The 24,041-nt window shown below is 39.8% G+C and overlaps 1 protein-coding gene and 1 pseudogene across 1 annotated transcript in view, besides 2 other annotated features; both read right to left on the bottom strand.

Moving 5' to 3' along the window:
* The window catches only part of RARB (retinoic acid receptor beta), a 768,612-nt gene that overhangs the window by 262,580 nt on the left and 481,991 nt on the right, over positions 1–24,041 (bottom strand). The window lies entirely within an intron of this gene.
* Positions 9,576–11,234, bottom strand: CFL1P7 (cofilin 1 pseudogene 7; annotated as a pseudogene).
* Positions 10,679–11,187: an enhancer, noted in NCBI's record as "OCT4-NANOG-H3K4me1 hESC enhancer chr3:25365657-25366165 (GRCh37/hg19 assembly coordinates)". NCBI's record gives its function as "activates a minimal SCP1, AML or CMV promoter by ChIP-STARR-seq in primed H9 embryonic stem cells {active_cell/tissue: H9 hESC(primed)}" and the evidence as "EXISTENCE:reporter gene assay evidence [ECO:0000049][PMID:30033119]".
* Positions 11,188–11,696: an enhancer, noted in NCBI's record as "OCT4-NANOG-H3K4me1 hESC enhancer chr3:25365148-25365656 (GRCh37/hg19 assembly coordinates)". NCBI's record gives its function as "activates a minimal SCP1, AML or CMV promoter by ChIP-STARR-seq in naive and primed H9 embryonic stem cells {active_cell/tissue: H9 hESC(naive and primed)}" and the evidence as "EXISTENCE:reporter gene assay evidence [ECO:0000049][PMID:30033119]".

Genomic DNA, 24,041 nt, shown 5'->3' with positions numbered 1-24,041 from the left:
AAATCCACTGGCTCTGCCTTCTAGGCACTTAGGATGGCCTTCTAGCATTGTGCTTAGAATTTCATGATGTGTGTGTCATCATGAGAGACATAAGAGAGTGATAACTGCTGCTTATTGAACATTTGGTATGTGCCACACACCAAAGCACTCACTGAACATCCATTCACTCACTTAAGCCTCCCACCAAACCTATACAGTATGCTTGTGCTATTACCATCCCCATATTATAGCTGAGGAAACAGAGGCAGAGAGAAGTTGCCCAGGGTCAGCCAGCCAGCATGGGTGGGGGCTGGAATTCACACCCCCACCTAACACCAGAGCCCATGCTCTTGACTCCTCTAACCTCTGTCTCTCCCCATCCCTAAGTAACCCCAACAGAAAGTCAAATTGTTTCTTATCTTCACATTCTCCACAACTCACACTGATCTGAAAAAAGAAGGTGACCAACACATAATGCTAGCTTGAATTGAATGAAGCCATGATGAATATTTCTTTTAAATTTCTTTGTGAAAGTAATATACATACATAATTAAAACGGTGCCAAAAGAAAGATAACAATTTAAGAAAATTCCCAACACACATGAACTCTCATTTTTTTCCTTCCCGCTCCACTTTTTAGAGGAAACCACTTATTTATTTATTTTTACATTAAGGATTTATTTTTTACTTTTTTTATTACACTTTAAGTTCTAGGGTACATGTGCACAACCTGCAGGTTTGTTACATATGTATACATGTGCCACGTTGGTGTGCTGCATCCAATAACTTGTCATTTACATTAGGTATATCTCCTAATGCTATCCTTCCCCGCTCCCTCCACCCCACAACAGGCCCCAGTGTGTGATGTTCCCCATTCTGTGTCCAAGTGTTCTCATTATTCAATTCCCACCTATGAGTGAGAACATGCGGTGTTTGCTTTTCTGTCCTTGCAATAGTTTGCTCAGAATGATGGTTTCCTACTTCATCCATGTCCCTAAAAAGGACATGAACTCATCCCTTTTTTATGGCTGCATAGTATTCCATGGTGTATATGTGCCACATTTTCTTAATCCGGTCTATCATTAATGGACATGTGGGTTGGTTCCAAGTCTTTGTTATTGTGAATAGTGCTGCAATAAACATACGTGTGCATGTGTCTTTATAGCAGCATGATTTATAATCCTTTGGGTATATACCCAGTAATAGGATGACTGGGTCAAATGGTATTTCTAGTTCTAGATCCCTGAGGAATCGCCACACTGTCTTCCACAATGGTTGAACTAGTTTACAGTCCCACCAACAGTGTAAAAGTGTTCCTGTTTCTCCACATCCTCTCCAGCACCTGTTGTTCCCTGACTTTTTAATGATTGCCATTCTAACTGGTGTGAGATGGTATCTCATTGTGGTTTTGATCTGCATTTCTCTGATGGCCAGTGATGATGAGCATTTTTTCATGTGTCTGTTGGCTGCATAAATGTCTTCTTTTGAGAAGTGTCTGTTCATGTCCTTTGCCCACTTTGTGATGGGGTTGTTTCATTTTTTCTTGTAAATCCGTTTAAGTTCTTTGTAGATTCTGGACATTAGCCCTTTGTCAGATGGGTAGAATGTAAAAATTTACTCCCATTCTGTAGGTTGCCTGTTCACTCTGATGGTAGTTTCTTTTGCTGTGCAGAAGCTCTTTAGTTTAATTAGATCCCATTTGTCAATTTTGGCTTTTGTTGCCATTGCTTTTGGTGTTTTAGACATAAAGTCCTTGCTCATGCCTATGTCCTGAATGGTATTGCCTAGGTTTTCTTCTAAGGTTTTTATGGTTTTAGGTCTAACATTTAAGTCTTTAATCCATCTTGAATTAATTTTTGTATAAGGTGTAAGGAAGGGATCCAGTTTCAGCTTTCTACATATGGCTAGCCAGTTTTCCCAGCACCATTTATTAAATAGGGAATCCTTTCCCCATTTCTTGTTTTTGTCAGGTTTGTCAAAGACTAGATGGTCGTAGATGTGTGGTATTATTTCTGAGGCCTCTGTTCTTTTCCATTGGTCTATATGTCTGTTTTGGTACCAGTACCATGCTGTTTTGGTTACTGTAGCCTTGTAGTATAGTTTGAAGTCAGGTAGCGTGATGCCTCCAGCTTTGTTCTTTTGGCTTAGGATTGACTTGGCAATGCGGGCTCTTTTTTGGTTCCATATGAACTTTAAAGTAGTTTTTTCCAATTCTGTGAAGAAAGTCATTGGTAGCTTGATGGGGATGGCATTGAATCTATAAATTACCTTGGGCACTATGGCCATTTTCATGATATTGATTCTTCCTATCCATGAGCATGGAGTGTTCTTCCATTTGTTTGTGTCCTCTTTTATTTTGTTGAGCAGTGGTTTGTAGTTCTCCTTGAATAGGTCCTTCACATCCCTTGTACGTTGGATTCCTAGGTATTTTATTCTCTTTGAAGCAATTGTGAATGAAGGTTCACTCATGATTTGGCTCTCTGTTTGTTTGTTATTGGTGTATAGGACTGCTTGTGATTTTTGCACGTTGATTTTGTATCCTGAGACTTTGCTGAAGTTGCTTAACAGCTTAAGGAGATTTTGGGCTGAGATGATGGGGTTTTCTAAATATACAATCATGTCATCTGCAAACAGGGACAATTTGACTTCCTCTTTTCCTAATTGAATACCCTTTATTTCTTTCTCCTGCCTGATTGCCCTGGCCAGAACTTCCAGCACTATGCTGAATAGGAGTGGTGAGAGAGGTCATCCCTGTCTTGTGCCAGTTTTCAAAGGGAATGCTTCCAGTTTTTGTCCATTCAGTATGATATTGGCTGTGGGTTCGTCATAAATGGCTCTTATTATTTTGAGATACATCCCATCAATACCTAGTTTATTGAGAGTTTTTAGCATGAAGGGCTGTTGAATTCTGTCAAAGGCCTTTTCTGCATCTATTGAGATAATCATGTGGTTTTTGTCATTGGTTCTGTTTATATGCTGGATTACGTTTATTGATTTGTGTTTGTTGAACCAGCCTTGCATCCCAGGGATGAAGCCAACTTGATCGTGGTGGATAACCTTTTTGATGTGCTGCTGGATTCAGTTTGCCAGTATTTTATTGAGGATTTCTGCATCGATGTTCATCAGGGATATTGGTCTACAATTCTCTTTTTTTGTTGTGTCTCTGCCATGCTTTGGTATCAGGATGATGCTGGCCTCATAAAATGAGTTAGGGAGGATTCCCTCTTTTTCTATTGATTGGAATAGTTTCAGAACGAATGGTACCAGCTCGTCTTTGTACCTCTGGTAGAATTTGGCTGTGAATCCGTCTGGTCCTGAACTTTTTTTGGTTGGTAAGCTATTAATTATTGCCTCAATTTCAGACCCTGTTATTGGTCTATTCAGGGACTCAAATTCTTCCTGGTTTAGTCTTGGGAGGGTGTATGTGTCCAGGTATTTATCCATTTCTTCTAGATTTTCTAGTTTATTTGCATAGAGGTGTTAATAGTATTCTCTGATGGTAGTTTGTATTTCTGTGGGATCGGTGGTGATATCCCCTTTATCATTTTTTATTGTGTCTATTTGATTCTTCTCTCTTTTCTTCTTTATTAGTCCTGCTAGTGGTCTATCAGTTTTGTTGATCTTTCCAAAAAACCAGCTCCTGGATTCATTGATTTTTTGAAGGGTTTTTTGTGTCTCTATCTCCTTCAGTTCTGCTCTGATCTTAGTTATTTCTTACCTTCTGCTAGCTTTTGAATGTGTCTGCTCTTGCTTCTCAGTTCTTTTAATTGTGATGTTAGGGTGTCAATTTTAGATCTTTCCTGCTTTCTCTTGTGGGCATTTAGTGCTATAAATTTCTCTCTACACACTGCTTTACATGTGTCCCAGAGATTCTGGTATGTTGTGTCTTTGTTCTCACTGGTTTCAAAGCACATCTTTATTTCTGCCTTCGTTTTGTTATGTATCCAGTAGTCATTCAGGAGCAGGTTGTTCAGTTTCCATGTAGTTGAGCTGTTCTGAGTGAGTTTCTTAATCCTGAGTTCTAGTTTGATTGCACTGTGGTCTGAGAGACAGTCTGTTATAATTTCTGTTCTTTTATATTTTCTGAGGAGTGCTTTCCTTCCAACTATGTGGTCAATTTTGGAATAAGTGCGATGTGGTGCTGAGATGAATGTATATTCTGTTGATTTGGGGTGGAGAATTCTGTAGATGTTTATTAGGTCTGCTTGGTGCAGAGCTGAATTCAATTCCTGGATATCCTTGTTAACTTTCTGTCTCGCTGATCTGTCTAATGTTGACAGTGGGGTGTTAAAGTCTCCCATTATTGTTGTGTGGGGGTCTAAGTCTCTTTGTAGGTCTCTAAGGACTTGCTTCATGAATCTGGGTGCTCCTGTATTGGGTGCATATATATTTAGCACAGTTAACTCTTCTTGTTGAATTGATCCCTTCACCATTATGTAATGGCCTTCTTTGTCTCTTTTGATCTTTGTTGGTTTAAAGTCTGTTTTATCAGAGACTAGGATTACAACCCCTGCTTTTTTTGTTTGTTTTTTTATTTTCCATTTGCTTGGTAGATCCTCCTCCATCCCTTTATTTTGAGCCTATGTGTGTCTCTGCACGTGAGATGGGTCTCCTGAATACAGCACACTGATGGGTCTTGACTCTTTATCCAATTTGCCAGTCTGTGTCTTTTAATTGGAGCATTTAACCCATTTACATTTAAGGTTAGTATTGTTATGTGTGAATCTGATCCTGTCATTATGATGTTAGCTGGTTGTTTTGCTCATTAGTTGATGCAGTTTCTTCCTAGAATTGATAGTCTTTACAATTTGGCATGTTTTTTAGTGGCTGGTACTGGTTGTTCCTTTCCATGTTTAGTGCTTCCTTCAGGAGCTCTTGTAGGGCAGGCCTGGTTGTGACAAAATCTCTCAGCATTTGCTTGTCTGTAAAGGATTTTATTTCTCCTTCACTTATGAAGCTTAGTTTGGCTGGATATGAAATTCTGGGTTGAAAATTCTTTTCTTTAAGAATGTTGAATATTGGCCCCCACTCTCTTCTGGCTTGCAGAGTGTCTGCCGAGAGATCCGCTGTTAGTCTGATGGGCTTCCCTTTGTGGGTAACCTGACCTTTCTCTCTGGCTGCCCTTAACACTTTTTCCTTCATTTCAACTTTGTGAATCTGACAATTATGTGTCTTGGGGTTGCTCTTCTCGGGGAGTATCTTTGTGGAGTTCTCTGTATTTCCTGAATTGGAATGTTGGCCTGTCTTGCTGGCTTGGGGAAGCTCTTCTCATTAATATCCTGCAGAGTGTTTTCCAACTTGGTTCCATTGTCCCCGTCACTTTCAGGTACACCAATCAGATGTAGATTTGGTCTTTTCACATAGTCCCATATTTCTTGGAGGATTTGTTCATTTCTTTTTATTAATTTTTCTCTAAACTTCTCTTCTCACTTCATTTCATTCATTTGATCTTCAATCACTGATACCCTTTCTTCCACTTGATTGAATCAGCTACTGAAGCTTGTGCATGCATCACGTAGTTCTCGTGCCATGGTTTTTAGCTCCATCAGGCCATTTAAGGACTTCTCTACACTGGTTATTCTAGTTAGCCATTTGTCTAATCTTTTTTCAAGGCTTTTAGCTTCTTTGCGATGGGTTTCAACATCCTCCTTTAGCTTGGAGGAGTTTGTTATTACTGATCGTCTGAAGTCTTCTTCTCTCAACTCATCAAAGTCATTCTCCATCCAGCTTTGTTCCATTGCTGTCGAGCAGCTGCATTCCTTTGGAGGAGTAGAGGCAGTCTGATTTTTAGAATTTTCAGCTTTTCTGCTCTGGTTTCTCCCCATCTTTGTGGTTTTACCTACCTTTGGTCTTTGATGATGGTGATATATAGGTGGGGTTTTGGTGTGGATGTCCTTTCTGTTTATTAGTTTTCCTTCTAAAAGTCAGGACCCTCAGCTGCAGGTCTGTTGGAGTTTGCTGGAGGTCCATTCCAGACCCTTTTTGCCTGGGTATCACCAGCAGAGGCTGCAGAACGGCAAATATTGCTGCCTTATCCTTCCTCTGGAAGCTTCGTCTCAGAGGGGCACCCGGCCGTATGAGGTGTCAGTCAGCCCCTACTGGGTGGTGCCTCCCCGTTAGGCTACTCGGGGGTCAGGGACCCACTTGAGGAGGCAGTCTGTCCATTCTCAGATCTCAAACTCCGTGCTGGGAGAACCACTACTCTCTTCAAAGCTGTCAGACAGGGACGTTTAAGTCTGCAGAAGTTTCTGCTGCCTTTTGTTCATCTATGCCCTGCCCTGAGAGGTGCAGTTTACAGAGGCAGGCAGGCCTCCTTGAGCTGCAGTGGGTTCCACCCTGTTCAAGCTTCCTGGCTGCTTTGTTTACCTACTCAAGCCTCAGCAATGGTGGACGCCCCTCCCCTAGCCTCGCTGCCACCTTGCAGTTCGATCTCAGACTGCTGTGCTAGCAGTGAGCGAGGCTCTGTGGGTGTGGGACCCTCCGAGCCAGGCACGGGACATAATCTCCTGGTGTGCCATTTGCTAAGACCATTGGAAAAGCACAGTATTAGGGTGGCAGTGTCCTAATTTTCCAGGTACCATCTGTCACAGCTTCCCTTGGCTAGGAAAGGGAGTTCCCTGACCCCTTGTGCTTCCCGGGTGCAGTGATGCCCCGCCCTGCTTTGGCTCATGTTCCATGGGCTGCACCCACTGTCTGACAAGCCCCAATGAGATGAACCTGGTGCCTCAGTTGGAAACGCAAAAATTGCCTGTCTTCTGTGTCGCTCATGCTGGGAGCTGTAGACTGGAGCTCTTCCTATTCGGCCATCTTGGAACCTCCCCCTTATTTCACTTATTTATTTTTACTTTTTCTTTTAGACAGAGACTTCCTCTGTTGCCCAAGCTGGAGTGCAGTGGCATGATCTCAGCTCACTGCAACCTCTGCTTCTTGGGTTCAAGCAATTCTTCTGCCTCAGCCTCTCTAGTAGCTGGGATTACAGGTGTGCACCACCATGCTCAGCTAATTTTTGTATTTTTAGTAAAGATGGGGTTTTGCCCTGTTGGGCAGGCTTGTTTTGAACTCCTCACCTGAGGTGATCCGCCCGTCTCAGTCTTTCAAAGTGTTGGGATTACAGGCGTAAGCCACTGCACCCGGCCTAGAGGCAACTACTTAAATCGCTCATCCGTTTATCCTGATCTCTAGGTTGCCAAATATCTTGTATTGCCATTCCTTAATACACCAATTTTATACTGCATATTGATATTCTTTATGGGACAAGAGGAATTAGCTCTCTTATACCATCCTCCTGCTTACTTCATTTGAAAATTTGTATTGCTAATAATTCTTTAGAAATATTTATAATTCTTGATAAGGTTTTTGTTAAATAGTGTTTATAAGTACTGTGTATTTTTTACTGCAAAGCCAACTAGTGTACTTTGTTTTATTTCTCACACAAATGCTTATTTTTCTGCAAGTCGATAGTTGCTTCTCTTTTTAAACTTGCTTATACACCTACTCTTAATTTTCTTTCATATACCTCATTATTAGTATTACTTGCCTATAGTCAAATAGACCAGATAATATACCAATTACATTGTTTGCATCCAATCTCAGCTTGTTTCTTTCTAGAGCCATCATAGAGCTGTCATGTGAGACTTTACCGTTTCTCATCATCTCATTATTGCTTTACATTTCTGATTTATGTTGGTCACTTAGTTTCATGAATCCTTTCTGTTTCAGAGTTAACTGCCTAATCTGGTCAAAGCCAAACCTCAAGATCAGATTAGTAAAGAGTACAGTGGAGAGAAACATTCTGAGACCTTACGTATCTAAAGACGTCTCTATTCCATGCTCAAACTTAAAAGTTTTGGCAGGTATAGAATTCTAGGTCGATAGTCATTTTCTCTCAGAATTATAAAAATATTGCCTTTTTGTTTTTCTCTCTTCTAATGTAGCTATTAAAAAGTCTGATGTCTTTCTGATTCCAATTGCTTTGATTATAATGTTCCCCCTCCTTTTTTGGATCTATTATTTTGAAATATTGTAGTAGTGCTGCTTGATGTGAATCTTTTTAAAAAATTTTTCAATAACTGTACCCAGACATCTTGCCCTTCTAGTCTGAAATTTTGTATTCTTCAGTTCTCAGGAAATTCCCTTTTTTTAAAAAAAAATAATTTCTTCCCATTCGTTTTCTCTTATTTCTCCCTGTAATTCTTAATAGCCAAATGTTAAACGTTCTGGGCTGATCTAAATCTCTCTTCCCTGCTCCCTCCTACTTTTATAATCCCTGTGTCTAAAAACGAAACAGCGCATGTTCTCACTTATAGGTGGGAATTGAACAATGAGAACACATGGACACAGGAAGGGGAACATCACACACCGGGGACTGTTGTGGGGTGGGAGGAGGGGGGAGGGATAGCATTAGGAGATATACCTAATGTTAAATGACGAGTTAATGGGTGCAGCACACCAACATGGCACATGTATACGTATGTAACAAACCTGCACTTTGTGCACATGTACCCTAAAAGTTAAAGTATAATAATAATAAAATTAAAAAAAAAAATCCCTGTGTCTTTTTATCCTACATTTTGTGAGTGTTTCTTGATATTGTCATCCAGCCTACCTATTAAATATTTTCATTTCTATAAAAGGATGTTCATTGGGAGTTTTCTCATTGTACCAATGTTTCAGGAGAGATTCCAGGGATTGACAACAAAAGGTGCCAACAGATCCACTAGGGAGATGCTAAAGAATGATGAAACCACCAAGGTAACTACTTTGCTGAAAAACAGTTGGACTTTTAAGGTGTAAATCATGAAAAGAAGTTATTTAATTTACTTTTTAATACCATAGCCTGTCAACCATATTATTTTTAACTTTTTCTCTACCCTTGAAAGGAACTTGGGCCATTTCCAAGTATTAAAAATAGTCTAAATTAGACAATTGTCTTAATAAACAACTGGGGACATCTTGTCTTTCCAGAGGTCCTTTTCAGGATGACTCAATTTCTGTTCCTTTCCACATGCAACCTTCAGGAAATATAAACCTTTGTCCAACTATCAGTGAGATGCAGCAAGCCCTCACTGCACCCCTTTCTCTTTGTTCTACTGTTAGAGGCAACTCTAGACAGCCTCCCTCCCACTTTTGACTTTAGCAGGTCCAGTTGGATACCAATCACACTGCCCCTCAGAATTTTAGGGAGATATACAGCAATATCTTTGAGTATTTCTCTAAAAGTCAACTCACTTCACTTCTGGGGTAGAGGGGACAATCCCCTTTCTTTCCAAGGGGGAGATAAGCAGGGAAGAACACACTGGTAACTCTCTTTAAGAAATTCTCATGACCAGCCTTCCTCAATAAATCTCCTTATCTTCTTTCATATATGCTTCAGGTAGGTGATGATAGGGGATGTACAGTCAGCTTCCGTTTCTCTTGCATGGTCTCAACAGGTGATTTGGAATCTGTTGGTCTTGGACTTAGCTAAAACTGAGTCCATAAGAAAACTGGCATTTAACAAGTTGTTTCACTTTGGTAATTTTATCTTTATTTCCAAAAGCTCTTTCTTCCCCCCGCCCCCCACTTTGTTTTTGGCTTCCCCCAACAACCCCCAAACTGAAGGTACCCTACTGGTCCTGCTTCCACAAGTGGCCATGACCAGGAAAAAAGGGAGAAGAACCAGTGGCATGGGGAGGGCTCATCACCACAACATTCCATTTATACACACAACTCAACAGACAAGCACGAGTAAGCACTGCAGTTAGAAGTTGGCAGCAGAGGAAGGATAAGGAATAGATGAGGAGTTGGGGTGTTATTAAAAAAAAAACCCCCACAAAATGAAGTGCCTGGGGGGTATTTGGTCTGCTTCTGTCAGAGCGTTTGAGCCAGATCGACTCCATCATAAAACAGGGCCTGGGTAAAATAAGGCTGAGAGCTACTGGGCTGCATTCCCAGGAGGTTAGCCGTTCTAAGTCACAGGATGAGATAGGAGCTCAGCAGAAGGTACAGGACACAAAGACCTTGCTGATAGAACAGGCTGTGGTAAAGAAGCCAGCCAAAACCCACCAAAACCAAGATGGCCATGAAAATGACCTCTGGTTGTCGTCACTGCTCATTACACGCAAATTATAATGTATTAGCATGCTGAGAGACACTCCCACCAGCACCCTGATAATTTACAAATGCCATGGCAACATCAGGAAGCTACACTATATGGTTTAAAAGGGGAAGGGATCCTCAGTTCTGGGAATTGCCTGCCTCTTTCCCAGAAAACTCATGAATAAGCCGCCCCTTGTTTAGCATATAATCAAGCAATAACTAAGTATCCTTAGTCTAGCAGCCCATGGCACTGCTCTGCCTATGGAGTAGCCATTCTTTTGTTTCTTCACTTCCTAATAAACTTGCTTTCACTTTATTCTGTGGACTTGCCCTAAATTCTTTCTTGCATGAGATCTAAGAACGCTCTCTTGAGGTCTGGATCAGGACTCCTTTCTGTTAACACTTCAACCCAAGAAGAATCAGAAGATCAAAGGTAATTTGGGAAGGCCGGAACTGTCAGGGATGGAGGGGAGAGGAAAAGGCAGGGCTTGGTGGGGAGCTGTTTGGCAGCTGGGGTGAAAGGATTGCTCTCCCACTGCTGAGATTCTCCAGCCCCTTCCTGTCTGTTAGGAATAGGGCAGCATGGAATCCCTGTGGGCAGGTCTGGGGCTTCCAGATGTTCCAGGAAGGGGGCTCACAAAGGGTTTCCCTCCAGGGAGATAATGGCACTGCCTCCCAGCTTCTCTGCAAAGGTGCGGTCGTTCTTGACTTCCGCGTAGCAGTTTGCTTGTAATTCATGCTTGATCCCCGTCAGCTTCTTCTTGATAGTGTCCTTGGAGTTGGCATAGATCATTTTGCTCTTCAGGGGTGCAGACTCAGGCCCAGAAGCTGAACACCAGGTCCTCCTCCTTGCTCTCCTTTGTCTCACAGTTTGCGTCACAGAGGGCGTTATGGCAGTCTTTGTCTGGCAGCATCTTGACAGAGGTGGTGGAGAGGCCACTGACAGTCTGGCTGACATCACCCACGAACATCTGCTTGCCCTCCTTGAGGATGAGTTCTTGTCCTCACTCAGGCAGAAGAGTACCACCTTCTTGAGCTTCTTCAACTCCTCTGGTGTCAACAACTTGTGTACCTTCATGTCATTGGATACCTTGATGATGCCATCAGAGACAGCCACACAGGAATCTACATTTCCAGAAGTCAAAAAGAGATGACAAAGAGAGCCAGAGAGGAGGAGATCTGACTGAACCTGCTCTTCAATAGTACACAGTATCTTCTAATTCATCCGAGACTAGAAATCAATGATTTTCTTGATTTTCTTCCACTTCCTTTATTATCTCTGCTTCCTTGAGTGTCACCTTTGTTTGTTTACTTTTGCTTTCTAGTTTAGCAGAGCTTTCTTCATGTGCTTGGTGATCCTTGATTGCCTATTGTCATTTAATATTGAGGTACTAGAATGTGAATGGTGTTTAAGAAGGGAGATAAACTTGTAGTTAAGCTGACCACACTTAACTGGAAGTCTTCTTGGGTTTTGAAGTCATAAATTTAGTTTAATTTCTAAATCTTATCCCTATGTTCATCCATTTTAGGGCTGTGGTTTATGTTTTTTCTCCAGCTCTTCATCTTCGTGTGGGCATAGAGGTCCACTATAAAAATGTGTGGCCCTTCATTATCTAGGACAGTGTGGGTTTTCTGAAGAGTTCTAAACTAGAGCTAAGTTATGGAAAATGTTTCATATCAAAATGGATGAAATATACAAGCCAAAGTTATGGCATCTACTTTCCCATTCCATGCATACTTTCATAGTTTTCATTTTGGAAGATTTTGAATATGTTATAAGAAAATCCTTGGGAATTTAAACTGAGTAGACTACTATTATAGTGTACAGTCACTCAGATTACTATGTTTTGTTGCGTATGAATGTTAGGGCACAAATGGAAAAATTCACCTGTTGCTAAAAGTGGCACATTTTCAGAGACCTCTATTGTGGTAGGCTGTTCTTTAATAATGACCACAGCAATTGCTCTTATCCCACATGTCCTTTTGTAATGTGGCTGTGCCATTCCTCCCACCTTGGGTCTATTTCCCCTCATTCTGAGCTGGTCCTGTGGTTTGCTTTGACCAGCAGAATGTGGTGACAGTGATGCTGTGTGTTGGCTGGGCCCAGAGCTTCAGAGATCACATGGCTTCTGTTTTTGCCTTGAGCCTCCATGTTTTTGCCTTGAGCCCCGGGTATTCTGTTGGAGAGAGGCCAATGGAGGAGCACTGAGGCATACCTGCCAACAGATAGGACCAGGGCCCCAAACATGTAGGTGAGGCCCTTTTGGATCCTCTGACCCCAGTAATGTGCAGACAACCCCACATGAAGCCTAGACAAACTGGACCAGCTGAGTGCTGCCTAAATTTTTGACCCACAGAATCATAGGCAATAGAATGGTTCTTGTTTTAAGCAAATAAGTTTGGGGTTGGTTTGTTATACAGCAATAGATCACTGACCAACTCTCTTTAGAACTATTTAGAGCAGGGATTTCCAACTCATGTTGCATTTTGGGTATCTGTGCTTATGTGCTCTTGTCAGAGGATCGGGGCCACAGCTTCTGATTCTTAAAGTAGTGTTTATCTTAAAAAAACTAAGAACCATTGAATTATGGGCCATTACAAGTTAAACACAATATCAACAGATTTTACTGTTTATGCAATACATGCTTATGCCATTATAAAAATATGATTATAAAATTAATTAAAAGATTGTCCCAAAGTCATAGTAAAAAATTTTGTTTGTATCCTTCCAGAGCACATAAGTATTAGGGATCTATTTGGAGAAATTAAAATGGTATATATGATTTATATATGTGTGCCAATGTGTATACTGATATATAAATGAATGTACTTGGCCAGTAAGAAAATCAGAACTTACTTTTGTTTTGTGGTCAAGTCAATATTTTACTTTCTAGCTCTTGCATTTCATGTCACTCCTAAAAAGGTCCTCTCTCCCTAAGTATAAAATAGACCCATATTTCTTTTAGAACTTTGCAATCTCAACTTTCTTTTTCTTCATCACAATCACTTATCCCTCTATGGCTTATCTGAGGTTTATTTTGGTGGAAGGAATGAGGTAGGAAGCTTGCTTCCCCCCCGCCCCCCAACATTTATTAAATAGTATATGTTTTCATCACTCATTTCAATGCCCACCTCATATACCAAATTTCCATACGTATTTGGGAATACCTCCAGACCCAATGCTGCGCTATTCATCTTGCTACTCCAGTAACTTACTGTTTTGATTGCTGTTGCTTATAATGCATTTTATTTCATGGAAAGGTGGTCTTTCCTTCTGTCTTTTTTTTTCTACAAACATTTTTCCTTCAACTATTATCTTTTAATTTTTTCAGATGAACTTCAGAATCATCACATCAATTAGCATCCATCCTTCTACTGCCTGCCTCCACAAATTCCCCAAATAATCTTTTTGTCTTTTTTTTTTTTTAAATTTTAGAGAACATCACATTGAAATTATAGCTTCTTCTGGGGAGAAGTTACAACTTCACAACACTGAGCTTTCTACCAAAGAGCAAGGTCTCTTTGCATTGATTCAAGACTCAAATGGCTGACAGCACAATTTTTTTTTAATTTATTTTTTGAGATGGAGTCTCACTCTGCCACCCAGGCTGGGATACAGTGGCATGATCTCGGCTCACTGCAACCTTTGCCTCCCAGATTCAAGTGATTCTCCTGCCTCAGCCTCCCGAGTAGCTGGGATTACAGGTACCTGCCACCATGCCCGGCTAATTTTTAATTTTTAGTAGAGAAGGGGTTTCGCCATGTCATCTGGGCTGGTCTCGAACACCTAACCTCAGGTGACTGGACTGCCTCGGCCTCCCAAAGTGCTGGGATTACAGATGTGAGCCACCGTGACCGACCTGATAGCATAATTTAAAAATGTTATTTTTATCTCTGTTAAATTTTCCTCTAGATATTTTAAATTTTTTGGTCAACAAAAAAGACAGTGTATTATACCAATATTCAGTTACCTTTGGCTTGGCGGAAGCAGTACCTTACTACTCCATCCAGGTAAATGATCATGGTTTTTCCCTGTACATTTCAAAGTCATTTTGGTCAAGTTCCCAAAGTCTGAATGCATCACACATAACTTGTAATGGGTCATTGTCCTGTTTAACTCAGGAATAATTGTACTGGAAAACCCTGATGGTTTCTAAGCTTATCCTAAACTTATTGTGCCTTGTACTGAAAAAGATCTGCTTGTTAAACACAGAGTTCCACACCGGGGTTATACCACTTGGAAAAAAAGTGCTCCGAAAGGGAAACCCAAAGTTCCTTTGATGGACTTATAGGCCTATAATTCAAAGAAGGATATAAAGAATGAGCATGCTTAAATATCAATGTTGGGTGGATACCTCAGAATTTTCCAGGTTCTATCCTCTGTTCCATAAATCAAAGTATTTGAAAGGGATTAAGTGATGAACATTGAGGCTTTGCCTGGGGTTTGACTATACGCTGCAAGACTGAAGGAAGCAGGAGCCGATGAGTTCACTGGGAAAGAACCCAAATCATATCTCTGGTCAAAAACAAACAAACAAAAGTAAACCCCAGGTTTCACAAAAAGCTCCTTTAGCACTTTTTTGAGAGGTATGTTAACATGAATAATTCTACCTATGAATTCACATATATAGAAGTTTGGATTCTAAATATCACTTTGGTACTAGAAATGAGATGTAGCATTTAGAAGCAATAATAAAGTAAATATTTGACATGAGGAACAAAGTAAAATGCAAGAAAATGGCAGAAGGGAAAAATGTTGGAAATCCTGGGTCAGGGACTGGTGAATTAGTAATGGAGTCAGGGCAGACAGGCCTCTCATTGGCCAAACTTTCGGTTGTATGTCCTGGCCCTGGAAAGCTCCTTTTCTGCAGTCAAATAGCATGGATCAGCTCTAAAGACGATCAGCCAGAGTTTCAATCTGAAGCTGGTGTGAAAGTACTACTACAGAGAAAATAATATCTTATGGGGTGGTGATAAGACATTATGAGCCATTTAAATTTACTATAATATTTTGAGGAAGATAATGAAGGTGTAAGGAAAAAAAGAAAATGCCCTAATATTCTTTCTGAAAACATCCTGGCAATGTTCAATGACTGCATAGAATTTGCTGTGGAGAGGAATCCTAAAGATGAGGAAGTGGGTATGGGGATGTTGTAGAGGTTGGGGTGACTTTTGGGGTCAGAGGTTCCTTAGCAGCGCTTGCCTTGGTCTAGACTGATGCATCAAAAGATCCAAAGGCAAAACATCCATTAGCAAAAAAAAAAAAAAGATGATCCTTATTTTTTTTAGTTCATTACAGAGAAAATGTCCCCACTGTTCCAGAAAGACTGATTTACGGCAAGCTTTTGACCACCCAAATTAAGCTGTGACATTGAGATAGTGCTAGTTACTTTTTCTCATGAATAGTTCTAGGCTAGATCACCTTTTCAAAAGAATAAAAAGAAGTGACTGAGAGTATATCCTGAATCAATAAATGTCTGTCTGCAACTCACACAGTACAGAATCCACTGTGAATATCTCTCCTTTCTGGATGGCAAAACTCCTTAACTCTACAAATGCAGGGTTCGTTTCATCATCAGATCACTTTCTCATCAAGATCTGTGTCTTTTCAGGAAGTGGTGAAGTCTGCTATTCAGGAGAAAAAAAATCAAAACTGCCATGCACGCATGCAATCATGTTGAACGGAATTCTTAGGCCTGTGAGGAAAAGACCCTCATTCGTGGGTTTTTATGGTACCTGACAGCTCTTTAATTTTGGTTGGTCAGATGAGATTGTCTGGGCTAAGAGATGGAGAATAGGCATAAACTAACAATGTGTTGAGAAGGAGAATTGATGACAGTCTTACCCATAATGCAGCTGTCAGATTCAAAATACTCAAAGCCCCCTCACCCTGTCTCAACATGGCCATTCCACAGAAGGGAAACTAGTTATCTTTCCAGGGAATGAAATGGATGCTATTAAGATACTCCCACAAGGATTTAGTTATTATGTGGGCATCGTCTATGCCATTAAACTGTATCCTGGGAGGACCTGAGGGTTTGATGGCAGGATCTCAGAATCACCAGGATAAGAGGGTGAGAAAACATGCATGTCACTTCCCTTATTCCTCATGTCCCCCAACTATTCGGAGGATAAAACTTCACCATTAATCTAAACACATCATTTGCCATATAAGAATTTTCTTTCATCTCCTCAGGTCTGAGAACACAAATAAATTGGTCCAATATATTATTGAAAATCATCTTTAATATTATAGTTAATAAGCATTAACAGCTAAATTACGTCTTCTTAAATCTAATTATTCAGTGATCAAACATAAACATGGAGTCCCGGGGAAAGACAGAGCATGAGTTACTATCTATGCTGGGCACTACAAGAGTTAAAATAAAAGGTTGGTAAATTGACACACAGAGAAAAGGACATTAAGGATATTGTCTGATGACAATGCTGAAAAAATCAAAACCTTTTTGAAATTCCCTTCTGTCTTGCAGGTCATGAGAGAGTTTCAGGGTGGTAATTTTTAAATGTGGAGGCCACTTACAATTCTGCTAAGCACTGTTATGGTGGCTGTGTGGTTGGGAGAAAATCATTCTTTCAAGAAGACCAAAGAATTCTACATTTGCTCCTAAAGATTTCCTTCTTTAATAAGGACTTGAGCAGATCCCTGTCATTGTTCTAGATAATGGATTACCTACACATACATTTCCAAGTGTAATGACACTCTTGCTTATTAAAGACCTCTCAGCTGAAGGGGCAGAATATTATGAACTGGCCGAGCCATTCATTTTCTTGAATATGTTATTCAGTATTTTATGCTAAACCAGCAATACACCATCCATTTTAGTACAATGATCCTTATGTTCAATAAAATTGAAGTGTCGCATCATAAATCATTATAGTCATTTATTTTACATTAGACACATTAGCCACTATATTCCATAATCTATTACAATAAGGTGGATTTAAATGTACCCCAAGGAACTGCAATAATAACTCGAGAACCAAATATAGCAATTTATGGATAAAATATGCTTAACCTAAAACTGCACTAGCTATCGTGATGGCTGTGAACTCTGAATGGAATTTAGTGCTGATGGTGACTGAACTCAGCTATACATAAAGAGGGAGGAAAGAGAAAAAGAAATGGCAGACCTTCCTCTAATTTTCTGTTCGTTAATTTAAAAAGTGTACTAGATTATTACACTATCAGTGAGACGGACAAATTTTGCTGGAGGAACTCATGCTCAGTTGAAACTTTTTCTAAGTAACACATATTCAAAATCTCTAGTTAACTATTCAATAGGATGCCTGTTGTTTCCAACAACAGCAGTGTCTGGGAAAGCTTCATCAATTCAGACTAATTCCACTAATTCCGCATTTGTGAAAATTCAGACAGGCTGGGTGGTGTGAAGAACAAGGTTTGCACATGTGATTCATAGTGTAAAAGAGGTACCCCAATAATGTTTTTATACCAGAAAAGCATTTCAAAATAGCCTTAAGTTTGTAGGAGACATTCTTTTACTAATAGTTGAGATGATAATTATAAATTCTTATCAATTAATGAAAATTATTTTCTCGAATGATCTCTTTTAGATAATATTAGCCTACTCCCATTTCCTATATGTATCTAAAAGCAAGAAAACTGTGTCCTGTAATTCAGATTCTTCACTAATTTGGTATCCTTCCACTTAGTCATGGATTGTGAGGTCTCTGTAATTTTAGGTAAATGGTTACTACCCATGTTATTGACACTCCTAGATAGCTCACTCGGCGATCTCAAGTCTTTGAGATTTGACCATGAAATGAGACTAGCTTTATTATAATGCTGGATATGAAGTCTTTGCTGTTCAAGATTAAAATACGTATTTGTTGCTGTGTCAATCTGAGATAGCATGACCCAGAACTGGCATAGTTAATTCTTCCTCAGGAAATTAGGGACCAGATTACATTTCCCATTTGTATGTCCTTATTAACCTACCTTCGCTTCCTTCCTCCCTTCCTTCCTCTCTCCCTCCCTTTCATCCAACCACCTAGTCATCAGCCAATGATCCATTTAGTGACTATCCTACTTATTTAATGCCTTCCCTGTGCCAGACACAAGGCGGGCACCAAGAACACAAAGAATAAGACAAGGCACCTAACACTTATAATAAGATACTTTCTATGATTACATTATTGCTTTTATCTATGCAAAAATGTTGTATTCTTTTACACGACTTATAATAATCAAATACTTAACAGTTAGTTATAAGATTTCCCTCAGTCAACATTTATAGAATTGTAAATTTATACATAAACCAAATTCTGAGGGGAAGCAGAGGACCTTGGTTGGCTAAATGACCTGGGGTGAATAATTTATTCTGTCTAACCCTCACTTCTTCATCGTACAATGAGACGGTTAACTGGATAGTTTCTTAGAGTTCCTTCTTGAATTTTAGGACTTAAATCATTTTCTCTGTCCTTTATAGTCATCGGTTCCATTTATTAAAATGTCTCCAATGCAGAAAAGGACAAAAATTTAAAGAAGTAGAAAATCTCGTCATTGTCATATTTGTCAGTCCCTTGCAATCCAGTCTATACTGCTACGTCTTTTCCTTTTACTGTCAACTGCTAATACCAAATGTGCTGTTCTCTCATCAGTTTGTGGTCTAATTTATGCCCATAAAATATTGTTACCATCTGATGACAATGAGAACACCAAATCTGTTGTCCCCACTCTTCTGAATCCTCTTTCAGCATCGGTATCGTCCTGGCTTTTCTCTTCTATAGATATATCTGAATTATACATTATTTCCCCCAGGCATGCTTTTCCAAATTAAATAAAATTTCATTTTCTGTTTCTTGCCTTAATCCTACTAGATGACTTGGCTTAAAATATTTACAGACTCCACTTTGTACCATTTTTAATAATTTGGCCTTATTGCATGTATTTATTTTATCTTGTGTTTTAGAGGGTTGTGGTTTGTGCTCACCCATAATTAAGGCTTTCCTCTAATACTATATGTCACCTTTGGCATGCTCTGTCAATTATGGAGAAAAATTACACTCCCTACCTCTAGATAGATGGAATAAAAATTACATAAATATGTAATAAAGATACATAGATACAATGGTCCTCAGATCAACCTGTGGGCTTAACAAGGTGCCTCATAAAAAAAGCTTATACAGACAATAGACATCTATCTGTACAAAATCTTTAGGCCAAATTTAGAAATATAAAAATATTTCTGAGCATATTCTTTGATCAAAAAACAAATATAAACCAGAGTCCAGTCTAGTGGATCTAGGTGACTGACAGAATGAATTTAATGTGGCAAGTAGTTACAAATATTTTAGACGATCTGAAAACTAAATGGTATGGTGACAGAGATTAATGTAGGTCAGGTGCGGTGGTTCATGCCTGTAATCCCAGAACTTTGGGAGGCTGAGGCGGGCAGAACCCTTGAGGTCAGGAGTTTGAGACCAGCCTGGGTAACATAGTGAAACCCCCTCTCTACTAAAAATAAAAAAAAAAAATTAGCTGAGTGTGGTGGTGCATGCCTGTAATTCCAGCTACTCTGGAGGCTGAGGCACGAGAATCGCTTTAACCCGGGAAGCAGAGGTTGCAGTGAGCTGAGACTGCGGCACTGTACTCCAGCCTGGGCGACAGAGCAAGACTCTGTCTCAAAAAAAGATTAACAGAGGCAGGAAGCACTATGCATCCTAGGCTGGAGAAGTAAATGGTCTTATCCAAAAACCCAGGAGCTCTTCCATCTCTTGCCAGTGCTTCCTTTTGGCCAAATTAGGTAAAAAGATAAGTGGATTGAGAGGGAAGTTAGGAAGTCTCAAGCTTCTGAGCCACTCACTGTGCAGACCCCTTCCAAGACCTGGGAGGGGTGCTAGCAAACTGTGTACATGGTCGTATGTCTACAATTCGAAAAAGTATAGTATTTTAATTTAAATAGTTACGAGTGCTTTCTTTTTGTACTTTGCTATCCCCTGCATTATACTTCTCAAGTAAGCCCCTATCTAGGGACTGGTTAGGGGGAGTTGAGCTGAGGACTCATTTAGTTTCTGTCTAGTGGGATGTGTGTATTTCATTCACAGTTTTTTTTGCATTGTGTGAAGACTGGGGATGCCAGAGAGCCTATAGACAGAGAGCTGCCCCGTACTCTTAAGAATTTTTCCACATTCAGCATGAATTTTAAATGTCCACCAAGTGGATAAAGAAAATGTGGTACCTACACACCACGGAATACTACACAGACATTAAAAAGAATAAAATAATGCCCTATGCATCAACATGGATGTAGCTGGAGGCCATTATTTGGTTTTCTGTTCCCATGTTAATTTGCTTAGGACAATGGCCTCCAGCTACATCCATGTTCTCATAAGTGGGAGCTGAACACTGAGTACTCAGCGACATAAAGATGGAAGCAACAGACACTGTGGACTACAAGAGAGGGGAGGAGGCAGGCAGGTAAGGACTGAAAAATTACTGGGTACTACGCTCACCACCTGGGTGATAGGATCAATTATACCCCAAACCTCAGTGTCACACAATATACCCATGTAACAAACCTGCACATGTACCCACCTGAGTCTAAAATAAAAGTTGAAAGTATTTTAAAAAATTAAAAAATGAAAGTATATATATAAAAAAATACTCCACCAGACATTTAGATAGGAGGAAAAAAAAGGTTTTTGTTGATGTCTTGGTGTTAGAATGGACTGTAGTAATCCACACACATCCATTGTGCCATTTTACCTGGCATTCACCTCAGATGTCTTAACCCCAAGAAACTGATGACAGACTCATTGGTTGCAACACAAGAAACTTAAACTATCTTAAAATCTTACAGCTCTCCTGTGAAAATAGCTTGATAGAGGTTTTCCCACAATTGACAATGATCCTAACAATTTATGTAACATTAATAACGTTATGAATGGGAATGTTTCTAAATTGTCAATAATAAAAAAGTAAATTCCAATTAGCATAGTGAGGAAAGACAATTATATTTCTGCTTTTCCTATAGAAAACTGTTATCAAAAGAAACAAAAATGATGAAGCTAAAAATTCTAGGAAAATATTATGAGATATATCTCAACAGTTAACTAATAAAATATGACCTTATTTTTCCAGCTTTTTCTTTTTTATTTGTTCTTGATTTTTAAAATTTGGAGTAAATTTTTAAGTTTTGTAATTTTTTGTGATTTTTAAAAATTAATTAATTTTTTTTTGTTGTTGAGACAGAGTCTGGCTCTGTCACCCAGGCTGGAGTGCAGTGGTGTGATCATAGCTCAGTGCAACCTCCAACTCTTGGGCTCCAGGGATCCTCTTGCCTCAGCCGCCCAAGTATCTGAGGCTACAGATGCATACCATCACACCTAGCTAATTTTTTTTCTTTTTTGTAGAGATGAGGTCTCACTACGTTGCCCAGGCTGGTCTTGAACTCCTGGGCTCAAGCGATCTTTCTGCCTGGACCTCCCAAAGTGCTAGAATTAGAGGTGTGAACCACCACGCCTGGACTGTTATTTTTTTCTCGTAGAAAATAAATACTTCCTTTTGTACATAATTTTGTATGTATAATTTTGTATTATGACTAAAGATGGCCCCCAAATTGCATAAACCTTAGATCCTCCAAACCTGCTGACACAGGAGCTTAGGAAATGAATTTTACAGTTACCTAAAGCAACACAGAGTACAATAGGAGAAAGGTGGAGAAGAGATCTGGGAGCCAATTAGCAAAAGACAAGCACTACAGTATATTAAAGAGCTTGCAAAATCTCTGGAAGGGCCAGGGAACCAGGCAAAGAAGTTTCACAACCAGAGATACTCGCTGACATCATACCAGGGAGTTGGGGAAGCCTAGTTACTTCCTACATTAGGCATAAGCATTACAGTTCAAGCCACCAATGTACTGATAATGAATTTTGAATGGTATCAACCACTGATGCATCTGCCAGGGCCGTCCCTAGAAACTTGATGTAGATCTTGCAACCTGAACCACATATGCATGTTTGTTTGGGTCACTAACTCTTAATTCTAAGTCTGGTTTATCTACATTTGATTGGAGTAGCCAGGGTCACTCACCCTAGAGAAAAAACAAGCGGGTCTTCCTATTCCCATAAGAGGGGAACTTCCAAGGAAAGGATTAATGCTGGGAAAACAAAAACAAAAACAACAAACAGATATCCACTACATTCCACCACCATCATCCCTATTTTACAGAATGGAAATAGAAATGGAAGCCTTAACATGGAAAGTAATCTGCCCACATTCAAATGGCTAGAAGTGGATAGAGCCAGGATGCTGCCTCCAGACTTGAAGACACAAATTCAAATGCCTCGAGAATCCAGGGTGTGATACAGATGGGTGGAGAAAAGCAGCAGTGTAGTGTGATGAAAAGTACAGATCATTGGTCACCAGGACTGGCGGCAACAGGGAATGGTGAGATTGAGGAGAACCAGAGAGCTCATGTCTATCCGCGAGGGACAGCTGCTCCCAAGTTCCTCCTGGCTGTGGCTGCGTGGGAATGTTCCCCAGTGGGGCCATCTATGCAGATTGTAAAACAGAGGTTAGAAATCTAGATTTTTATTGTGAAATGTCCCAATTTTTAAATGTTGTTAAAAATTGAAAAAAACTTTGTAACTATTGTTTGGGCCATAATTGTACAAGCTCATCTGCTGCTGCATTATTATCTCAGGCTTCTATTTGCAATGTCTGCTCCAGAGTGAGCTCTCACTCACTAAATTACATTACTATACCTCTTCTTTTCAATTAACCGCATTTTACAAACCCACTTTTAACTCCCAGGCTTTACTTTTCCTCTATACTTGACCAGAGGAGTTAGAAGGTCTGAAGTTTCAGTCCTGACGTGCTGCTTATTAGCTGTATAATCCTGAATGAGTCCTTTAACTTCTCAAAATCTTAGGTCTTTATCTGGAAAATGGAAAAAAAAAAATGTATTCTGCCTCCCTCCCGGGGTTGTTTTGAGAATCAAATCAAACAGTGAATATGAATGTGTTTTGAAAGCTATCAAAATCTACAGAAAAGTCAGTATATTACTTTTAATGATAACCTTAATTTTCAGAAAAGTAATTAGCCAAAATTCCTCCTTTCCATTTATAGAAAATAACACATTAATTTTTCTTCCGTCTCTGATTCTACCCCCATCATCCTTGGCATTTCAAAAATGATTGCCTTGTAGTCAATAAGTTCATTAACCACTTCCCTAAACACCGCAGGAAACAACTCATCTCCCCCAAAGAACCCATATTTTGAACATAAGCATTTATTTTTTCACATACTTTTTTTCCTTTTTTTTCTAACCAAGTACAACATTAATGAGTTGTGTTTTACTTGAACTTTTGTATTGGGATTTCAGGGTAACTGACTTGAGCAAGGAGGCAGGATTTCTTAGGAGGTCAACCAGGAGGCAGAGCTTGAGTGTGAGTATCCACATCCCCCACTGTCATTCCTTGTGTTTTTTGAGAGTTTGTGTCATGAGCCTGAACTGTCTATGTACCATATGTGCCCTGGGGAAAGCCATTCTTATTGAAAGGCAAAATAAAGCCATCACTTACATGAAGAATGGAACCCATTTGGCAATGATATTCCTTTCCATATTTCCCTTCTCTGAACATTTTGTTACAGAGCAAAGACAGGCATAAACCTCACCCTGCTTCCTTTGAGGAAGCCCTCAGCTGCCCCGCTGTGAATACTGACCTGGCACTATCTGCCACCAATAGGGAATGTTTGGGTGGAACATCTACATATTTAATGGTATAGCTATTGTTAATTAAATAAAAACTATAAACAGAGAATATGTGACAAAAGGAAAAGGTCCAGATTTGCAAAGTTCTTTTTTAGCTACAGGAGGCCTCTTTGAGGAGGATATGAAGATATCCTTTAGTACCGACCCAAACAGTATGGATGGCTAGTGCCGTATCTTTTAAAATTCCTATCAGCGGACTCTTTTAATAATTGTCCACACAGGGCGGTT

This window comes from Homo sapiens, chromosome 3 (genome assembly GCF_000001405.40).
Source record: "Homo sapiens chromosome 3, GRCh38.p14 Primary Assembly".
In the NCBI taxonomy this organism is placed as follows: Eukaryota; Metazoa; Chordata; class Mammalia; order Primates; family Hominidae; genus Homo; species Homo sapiens.
Note: the sequence above shows the minus strand (reverse complement) of the source record. Positions and strands in the feature narration are given on the sequence as shown.